The sequence below is a fragment of the Homo sapiens genome, chromosome 18, assembly GCF_000001405.40.
Source record: "Homo sapiens chromosome 18, GRCh38.p14 Primary Assembly".
Classification (NCBI taxonomy): domain Eukaryota; kingdom Metazoa; phylum Chordata; class Mammalia; order Primates; family Hominidae; genus Homo; species Homo sapiens.
In genome coordinates this window covers 59,915,010-59,925,533 of record NC_000018.10, presented here as the reverse complement: position 1 = coordinate 59,925,533, position 10,524 = coordinate 59,915,010, and the positions used below count along the sequence as shown (strand labels likewise).

Below are 10,524 nucleotides of genomic sequence, written 5' to 3'. Positions count from 1 at the left end.
TGTTGTTTTTAACTTTTTCACTATGATATGCACCATATGTATCTGAGTACTTATAATATAGATAAACAATTTAATCACTAATTATTAGTGAACACTTATTAAAGCCACCACCATTTGTGACTAAATTCTGGACCAGGGAATATAGATGGAAAAGATATACTACTTATAGAGTTGGGCCATGAAGAGTTCCCAGATGGGATTCTCACTCCACTCATCCATTCCCTGGATGATGCTGAGGTGCAGGTATTAGTTTGCTGGGGCTACCATGACAAAATATCACAGACTGGGGGGGGCTTAAAGAACGGAAATTTATTTTCTCACAGTTCTGGGGGCTGGAAGCCCATCACCCAGGTGCTGGCAGGTTTGGTTTCTCCTAAAGCCTCTCTCACTAGCAGGCAGACAGCTGCCCTCTCGCCATGTTCTCACGTGGGCTTTCCTCTCTGTGAGCACATCTCCGGTGTCTCTTTATATCTCCAAATTTCCTCTTCTTCTTCTAAGAACATCAGTCACATTAGATTAGGGCCCATCCTAACAGCTTCATTTTAATTTAATCACATCTTTAAAGGCCCTGTTTCCAGATAGAGTCACATTCTGAGGAACTGCGGGCTAGAGTTTCAACATATGAATCTGGGGAAGATACAATTCAGTGCATAACAGTGACCTGGAAGCCAAAATATGGAGCCACAAGATGGAAGGATCCTGGATCCCCAGATGGCCCCTTGGAAGAGAGAAGACTAGAAGACCTCTCAACTAGGAACAACAGCATTAGACTTTTTGTGAGCAACCCATGAACTTTTAATTTTGTTAAACAACTTCTATTTTGGGATTATTTATAACAGAATCCTACACTGACGAAATGAAAGAAAGCTCAACCATCCCCTGTTGAGTGTATCTAATTAAATCAGGTTTTAATATACTGACTTCTGGTGAGGAGAAAGAGTACAAATGAAGAGAGATAATTCTAGACTTGCAGCCTCTGAAATTGATTTGGTGGAATTGACCATGGGCAATAGATTCTGCAATGAACTAGTACATTAATTAATGCTAAGTGGTATGATTAATTTGAATTATGTTTTCTTTAAGTGCAATGAATAATTTGGGTTCTTATCTGTACCTGAAAAAAAATTCAGAATTAACACATCTGAATTAGTTAATTTGCAGTTGTTTGGTAAATCGGTCTAGCCCCATATTCTTGGGTAAGCATATTTCTGGAGAGAAAAAGAAAGAAAAAGAAAAAGCTCCAAATTCTGAGAGCTTTATGATCTCTATGAGGTCAGTTGAAGAGTGACTACCAGAAGCAGAGGCCTGCCAGCACCCACAATTCTTCTGTTCAGAGACAGTAAATTAGGATTTTAAGGGAAGAAAAAAGGAATTGGAAAGGCAGCTTCTTGGCAACTTAAATTTCCTAGGCTGCTGAAAGGGGAATCCTCCACAGTGAGCAGTGAGATGCTGAAAAAAGATGGGGTGCAAGCAAGTGTTGCTCACAAGTAGCCCACGGAGGAGAAGGACCCTAAATTATGTGGAAGGTGAAGAATGCTTCTAAACAGAGCGTGGGGTCTGTAGAGGATCCATGGAGGCTCATCACAGCTTCCTGGTGGTGAAGACAAACAGCGCCTGCTTCAATTGGTCCCCTTGTCCCCAGCCTCACTAAACTGTTCCCCTCTTCCAGTCTTTTCTGTCTTGGACAAGTAGATTTATCTTATCTTCAGCGATGGAAAAACTGACTCGCCTTGGCCACCTATTCTTCTCAATCTTTTGCATCTTCCACCTGGCTGTTAGCTTTTAAAACTAAAAGACAAGAGTTTGATTCTTATTTCTCGGGTTCTGCTATGACAACTGTCCCTTGAGGCAACAGAGCTTGGTTTCTGTCTGCCCAGCAGCAGGAGGTTCATGGAGTAACAGAGAATATCACACACACCAAAACCTCTCTTAATATATCAAAGCATATTCCTGCCAAACATCAAAATAAAGAGCTGGAAAATTTTCACCCCTTTTATGTTTGTTTTTGGGGAAAAAACAACCAAAGAAACTGCACATTATCTAAGGAAACATTTACAGACAAATGCAATCTGTTCTCTCATGGGAATCCCTGGCACAAAATCCAATGACTGATGTGGTCACACTGTACTCTACAGAGAGGCTGCGGCTATCGGGTGAAACAGAACTCCTCACAGAGACCAAACAAGGTTTGTGGGTTACCAGACACTGGTGTTCTCTTACAGACAAAGTGTGGTCTTGTCAGGTGACATTCCAAAGGCACATGTCATCTTGGGTGTTCAGGTTGAAGCTACCATTGTGGAAAAATCTCCTGTTTAGATGACAAAACAATATCAAGCACAGCTTAGAAATTCTACATTTGCCAGCCTGGCCAACATGGTGACACCCGTCTCTACTAAAAATACAAAACTTAGCCAGGCATGGTGGCATGTGCCTGTAATCCTAGCTACTCAGGAGGCTGAGGCACGAGAATTGCTTGAACCTGGGAGGCGGAGGTAGCAGTGAGCCAAGATCGCACCACTGTACTCCAGCCAGGATGACAGAGAGAGACTCCATCTCAAAAAAAAAAAAAAAAAAAAAAAAGAGACCGGGCATGATGGCTCACACCCGTAATCCCAGCATTTTGGGAGGCTGAGGCAGGTGGATCACCTGAGGTTGGGAGCTCGAGACCAGCCTGACCAACATGGAGAAACCCTGTCTCTACTAAAAATGCAAAATTAGCCGGGTGTGGTGGTGCATGCCTGTAATCCCAGCTACTCAGCAGGCTGAGGCAGGAGAATCACTTGAACCCGGGAGGCGGAGGTTGCGGTGAGCCAAGATCGCACCATCGCACTCCAGCATGGGCAAGAAGAGTGAAACTCTGTCTCAAAAAGAAAAGAAAAGAAAAGAAATTCTACATTTGACATAGAATTAAACTATTAGCCAATTCAGAGTGGCTTATTTCCCTCTGTTTCATAGAAAGTTGACCTAAATAAAAGTCAAACTCATGGTTTATGTTTAAATAATTAAAAACTTGAAATGATGTACAAGTAGCAGTAACTGACCAAGCTTCAAGAACAAAATAGCCTAAAATGCTCTTAATTTAAGACATTTTGGGCCAGGCGTGGTGTCTCACTCCTGTAATCCCAACACTTTGGGAGGAGGCCGAGGTGGGTGGATCACTTGAGATCTGGAGTTCGAGACCAACCTGGCCAACGTGGGGAAAGCTCATCTCTACTAAAATTACAAAAATTAGCCAGGGATGGTGGCATGCACCTGTAATTCCAGCTACTTGGGAGCCTAAGGCAGTAGAACTGCTTGAACCTAAGAGGTGGAGGTTGCAGTGAGCCAAGATTGTGCCACTGCACTCCAGGCTGCGCGATAGAGACCCTGTCTCAAACAAACAAAAACAAAAAATATTGGATTTGAGATATCAGGAAGCCACCAAGTGACTATCAATATTTTGACCCCAACTCTGAGTATTGTTTGGGGTAGGTTATATCCTCAGATTTTTTTGCCCTTCTTTGCCAGTGGGAGGCTCTAAAAAAGTCCAGAGAATCTTCCTCCAATTCAGAAATAGCCAAAGATCAGCACAAACAAACACAAAGCAGCATGAAGAACTGTTTTCTACTGCTGGAATACCAGAAAATCTGAGCAGGAGACAAGAAGTGTTGCCAGGACATGGCTTTACTGGTTGGGTTGGTTGGGTAAGCAGGTGGTTTGGTTTGGTTCTTTCCCCTGCATTCAACTTATAAATTAGGTGGCAAATGACAAGAAAATTGGCCAAGATGATGAATCATTCATGAGAGCTAAGGAATTACCCCCACCCAACCTAACATTTTCCAGACATGGAAATTGACATCTGGAGAAGGAGTGACTTTCCACCATCTCTCAGCAAGTAAGTTGCAGCGCTTGGAACAAGAACCCTGTTCTATCTCTGAGTCCAAGACTGTTCCCACTTCAAAACTGATCATGGGCTTCATCATAAAAATATACCTACCAGCTCTGAACCTAGCCATCTTCCCTCACCCCCACCACAACCACAAACCACAGCTTCTGCTTGACAGACATACTATATCATCATGATGAAAACTCACGAGAACAACAGCATGGAAGTTCAAGGTTCAAACTGAGACAGAAACTGGATGTACAGCATGTAGTAGGTGGTGAATAAATATTTTATTAATAAATTAATGAGTGATCATGTGAATAAAGTTGTTGTATTGTCAGGGCATTAGACACATAAAGAGCAGCTTACGGTGTATAATGGGTTTCCTTTTAGGGTTTACTTTCCCAAAATATTTGGATAAGGGTTACCTGATAATGCTAAACATTCATAACGGTAAGTATAGACTTCAAATTAGGCTGACTCCACTGTTCAAATGCTTTAAGTAAAACGTCAAAATTCAGAACATCTGGAATGAAATAAGGCTTGGTTAGTCTTTGTAATTAAACTACTCTTAAAATTATATTAAAAATCAGGCCAGGCGCCGTGGTTTACTCCTGTAATCCCAGCACTTTGGGAGGCCAAGGTGAGCAGATAACCTGAGTGCAGGAGTTAGAGACCAGCCTGGCCAACATGGAGAAACCCCATTTCTACTAAAAATACAAAAGTTAGCCAGGCGTAGTGGTGGGCACCTGTAGTCTCAGCTACTGGGGAGGCTGAGGCAGAAGAATCGCTTGAACCCTGAAGATGGAGGTTGCAGTGAGCCGAGATGGCGCCATTGCACTCCAGCCTGAGCAACAGAGCAAGACTTTCTCTCAAAACAAACAAACAAAAATGATATTAAAAATCAAAATGGTTTTAAATGTATTACAGTGGTTGTTGCTGGGACTGCCATTAGGGACAAATTTCTCCTCCCTTTTTTACCTTTCTCTATATGCTGAATTTTGTAATATTAAAAATAAGATTTAAGGCCAGGTGCGGTGGCTCACGCCTGTAATCCCAGTGCTTTGGGAGGCTGAGGCAGGTGGATCACGAAGTCAGGAGATTGAGACCATCCTGGCTTACACGGTGAAAGCCCGTCTCTACTAAAAATACAAAAAAAAAAATTAGCTGGGTGTGGTGGCGGGCGCCTGTAGTCCCAGCTACTGGGGAGGCTGAGGCAGGAGAATGGCGTGAACCCGGGAGGCAGAGCTTGCAGTGAGCGGAGATGGCACCACTGCACTCCAGCCTGGGTGACAGAGCGAGACTCTGTATTTAAAAAAAAAAAAAAGAGTTAAAAGGGCAGGCCGGGCGTGGAGCTCATGCCTGTAGTCTCAGCACTTTGGAAGGCCGAGGTGGGCGGATCACTTGAGGTCAGGAGTTCCAGACCAGCCTGGCCAACATGGTGAAATCCCTTCTCTACTAAAAATACAAAAATTAGCTGGGGGTGTGGTGGTGCACGCCTGTAATCCCAGCTACTCGGGAGTCTGAGGAAAGAGCATTGCTTGAACCAGGGAGGTGGAGGTTGCAGCGAACCAAGATCGTGCCACTGCACTCCAGCCTGGATGACAGAAGGAGACTCCTCCATCTCATTAAAAAAATAAAAAATAAAGGGCAAACCAGTTTGAGAACAAACTGAAAGAGGTCAAGCATGGTAGCCCCTATTGCCTTGCCTGCCAGGTTCTTGATCTGGGGGATACAGCAGTGCATGGAAGAGCCCAGGCTTTGGCCCTCAGGGCCCTACATTCAAGAGAGGGCATCAGATGACTAGCAAATGAGCAGATCTATACCAAGTGGTGAAGAAGAATAAAGCAGGTTGGGATACAGTGAGTGATGGTAGGGGCATAGTCTTTCAACAGGTACTCAAGCATTCTCTGATAAAATGCTATTTGAGCAGAGATCAAAGAGGAGTAAGGGCAGAAGCTGGAGACCAGTTAGGAGGCCTCTGTAGCACCCGGGTATGGAATGATAGTGGCTCTGTGTACAGGGGATTAGAGAAGGGTCATACTCTGGCCATACTCAGAAGACATAGCTGCCAGGATTTGCTGAAGGAGTGACAGAATGTGAGGTCTATAGAAAGAAAGGATCTTGGATGAGGCAAGAAGCCTGAGCTTGACCTGAGCCTCCTTTGCTTCAGAGCCAGTCCATCCAAACTCCAGGTAGCTCGGGAAAGATGAATGAAGCTTCACTTTTTGAGCTCCGGTTACTTTTCAACACACTGTCCCCATCCTTACTCTCGTCTGGATTCACAACAGTCTTTTAATAGCTGAAAAAAAAAATGTTATCCCAGACTACATAGATCAGCCATGATCACACCACCATTAAAGGATAAAATGGAGACTAAAACAAACATGTGGCAATTTCCCTGGGTGGTCCTCCTAGAGGATACTGATCCCTTGATAACAGGGGCCACATGTGTCAGCACTGCGCTCTCCACCATGCCCAGCAAAGCACCTGGCATGCTGCAGGCCCTCAACAAATGCTCGCTGAATTAACTCCCCTTGAGGAGAGGCCACGGGTGGCTACATTGTGAGGCTTGAGGACGCAGGCATTAAAATCAGACCGTTCTAATATTTGTCACTACCTCTGCATTCAGTCCTCTGACTTTGAGCAGGCTTTTAAACCTCCTAATCTTCAGTGCGCTCTTGTTTTTTATTAAAAAAAAAAAGAGAGAGAGAGAAGAAAGAAATGAAGATAATGATACTTAGCCCTCAGAGTTGGTGGAAGGATTAGATGAAATTATATTTGCAAAGCACGAGCTACAGAAGCTGGCACAGATCAAGGAATCCAAAAGTGTAAACTATTATTAAACCAAGGACCTCGAAACTATGCAATCCCTCCTCACTCCTCAGCCAGTACTTCAGTTCCTACCAAACCTGTTAGAAGACCCTGTAGCTTAAAATAGAGCAACTGGGGAAGATCTCTTCCGCTCCACTGCCTTCAGCCCCACCCTGCCTGGCCTCGCTATGTTGGCTGCAGCACACAAGCTGAGTCATGCCAGCTGCCGGCAGGGCAATTTTAAGCCCAAAGGGGCCATGTCCGTCACCCGATCCACAGTACACCCACACCTAGCTTTCCTGTCTGCAGAGATAAACGGCAAATGCGGGAGGCCATGTGTCTTTCTGGGTATCTGGGCCATCAACTGTGGAATGGCCATTTTATATGAGCGTTTATCAGCCTTGGTTTGTGTATCAGTGTCGGAGAGACACCTGGATTATACAATGTCAGTCTGCAGACAACAGTAGAGAAGTGTGAATCACTAGATTATTTTTGTAGATAGCTAATTAAGCAATTAATGCCAATCTCCATATCTAGCATAAGAAACCGTAAAGGCTGGGGGCAATGGCTCACGCCTGTAATCCCAGCACTTTGGGAGGCCAAGGCAGGAAGATCACTTGAGTCGAGGAGTTCAAGACCAGCCTGGGCAACATAGGGAAACTATTTTTTTTTTTTTTTTTTTTTGAGATGGAGTCTCACTCTGTCTCACAGGCTGGAGTGCAGTGCAGTGACACCCTCTCGGCTCACTCCAACCTCCACCTCCGGGGTTCAAGTGATTCTCCCGCCTCAGCCTCCTGCGTAGCTGATTACAGGCACACGCCACCACGTCCAGCTAATTATTGTGTTTTTAGTAGAGACAGGGTTTCTCCATGTTGGTCAGGCTGGTATTGAACTCATAACCGCAGGTGATCCGTCCGCCTCAGCCTCCCAGAGTACTGAGATTGCAGGCGTGAGCCACCGCACCTGGCCTCCTGTCTCTATTAAAAAAAAAAAAAAAGAAAAAAGAAAGAAAGAAAAGAAAAGAAAAAGAAACTGAATTTTTTTCAGTCTTAGTAACTTGTCTGTTCATTTGATGCCCTTCACCTGCTCATTAAAAAGAAACAAAAAAATGAAGAAAAAACACTTCCTGAAAAGTAACCTGCTGAGTCACCCTCCAAAGGCAACTATGGCCTGTGCTCAGGAACTGGCTCACTTTTCCGATTCGCATTGCATAACCCCATCCCCAGCACCTCTTGCTTGCCACCCGCTTTCTCTTTGACATTCCCCCTTCCACTTTGGAGGCTCGCTTGGCAGCCCCCTGTGGGCCCTCTCAGTGCATCCCCTTTGAAGCTCCACAGTGACTTCCTCTGTGGAGCTGATTCTCCCTGAATGCACAGTGGTATGGGAAGCAAGGGAGAGATGCCCCAGGAGCCAGGTCCCCACCCCAGCGCAGCAGAGGAGTCCAGCAGAAGAAGCCTAAGGGAATGTCTTGAAATGCATACCAGAAGTATATTAAGTCCTAATACTCAGGCTGTAAACAAGCCCTCTCCCCAGGGCAATGGCAGTTTTGATGGGATATGCCGTATTATTTATATAAAGAGTAGAGACCATCAGAATCTGAATATTAGTGCCAAAAGGGTGGGTGTAGGAATTGTCTGGTGCTGTGGTGCCCAACCCAGCTGCACACCAAGATTACTAGAGGAACTTAAAAAATACCGATGGATAAGCCCTCTCCCAGACCAATTGAAAAAGAGTCTCTGGGATTGAGATGGGGCATTTGCAATCTCTGCAGGTGACTCTAATGTGCGGTTAAATATAGGAAATCCAGTCCAGTGGCTCTTAAGTGTTACTGAGTCACAGACTCCTGTGACAAGTACAATAGATTTCATCTGAAAAAAAAAAAAAACAACTCTTTTATACACAATTTCAGAGACACACTGACACCCTGAGGCTCCCCTATCAGGTCAGACTTTTCTTTGGGCAAATGATGAGTGAGGCCAAGAACAGTTAAGAAACCTCAGCCCTTCGTGGTGGCTCATACCTGTAATTCCAGCACTTTGGGAGGCCAAGGTGGGTGGATCACAAGGTCAGGAGTTCAAGACCAAGCCCGGCCAAGATTGTGAAACCCCATCTCTACTAAAAACACAAAAAATTAGCCAGGTGAGGGGGCAGATGCCTGTAATCCCAGCTACTTGGGAGGCTGAGGCAGGAGAATCGCTTGAACTCGGAGGGCAGAGGTTGCAGTGAGCCGAGAGCACCACTGCACTCCAGCCTGGGCGACACAGTAAGACTCCGTCTCAAAAAAAAAAAAAAAAGAAAGAAAGAAACTGCAGCTCTAGGCCAGGTATGGTGGCTCACACCTATAATCCCAACACTTTGGGATGTGGAAGCAGGCAGATCTCTTGAGCCCAGGAGTTTGAGACCAGCCTAGGCAACATAGTGAGACCCTATCTCTAAAAAATGTTTAAAATTAGCCAGGCATGGTAGCGCATGCCTATAGTTCCACCTACTTGGGAGACTGAGACAGGATGATCACTTGAGCCCAAGAATTTGAGGCTGCAGTTAGCGGTGATCATGCCACTGCAGTCCAGACCCTGTCTCAAAAAAAAAAGAAAGAAAGAAAAGAGAAAAAAGCCTCAGCCCAGCCAATAAGGCCTGTGAGCTAGCAAAGGCCAGGCCAATATGTTTTCTCCTTTCTCAGTGGTGAGCACTAGTCAGAAACAGTTTTCTCTGACCTAACACAGTACCATAGATACGAGAAAAGCAAAGATTACCATCTATCTTATCCAATTCATTTATTGAGCAGATGTCAGGCAAATCCTGTAATAATACTAATATTCATCCATCTACTGAAACTGTCCTTAGTGAAGTTTTACTAATTAATCTTAAACAACTCCTGTTATGGGTTGAATTGTGTCCCCCCAAAAGATATGTTGAAGTCCTAACTCCCAGTCCACGTAAATGTGGCCTTATTTGGAAATCAAGTCTGTATATATAATCAAGTTAACGTGAGTTCATTAGGATGAGTCGTAATCCAGTATGACTGGTGTCCTTATAAGAAGATGACAAAACGAATGGAAGGCCGAGACACACAGGGGAAATGCCATGTGGCAACAGAGGCAGAGGTTGGAGTGATACATTTACAAGCCAAGGAACACCAAGGATTGCCAGAAACCACCAGATGCTAGGAGGAGGCAAGGAAGGATTCTCCTTTTCAGGCGTCAGAGGGAGCATGGCCCTGCTGACACCTTGATTTTGGACTCTGGACTGCAAAACTGTGTGAAAGAAAAAATTCTTGCTGCTTTAACCCACCCAGTCTGTGGTACTTTGTACAGTTACCTTAGCAAATGATAGACCTTGGGCCAGGCACAGTGGCTCACACCTGTAATCCCAACACTTTGGGAGGCCGAGGCAGGAGGATCACGAAGTCAGGAGATCAAGACCAGCCTGACCAACATAGTAAAACCCTGTCTCTCCTAAAAATACAAAAATTAGCTGGGCGTGGTGGCACTTGCCTGTAATCCCAGCTACTCAGGAGGCTGAGGCAGGAGAATCGCTTGAATCCGGGAGGTGGAGGTTGCAGTGAGCCGAGATCACGCCACTGCACTCCAGCCTGGGCAACAGAGGGAGACTCTACCTCAAAAAAAAAAAAAAAAGGCAAATGATAGACCTAAATTGTTCCAAGCAAGCTGGGACACCTAAGCCACAGAGGAGAGCTGCTAGGAATCCGCACCCCAGCCTTCCTGCCTGGCTTGGTAAAAGAGATTTCCTTGATGGAACCTCTAAAACTGTGCCCCTGCTCTGCTTTTTAAAAAGATTCCACTTGAATATTTTGTGCCCTCTTAGTTTTGCTCATGGCACTTTCT

General features: G+C 44.9%; 1 annotated feature.

The window, feature by feature from the left end:
- Nucleotides 1,807-1,946: an enhancer, noted in NCBI's record as "active region_13423". NCBI's record gives its function as "activates an Ori minimal core promoter by ATAC-STARR-seq in GM12878 lymphoblastoid cells {active_cell/tissue: GM12878}" and the evidence as "EXISTENCE:reporter gene assay evidence [ECO:0000049][PMID:35858748]".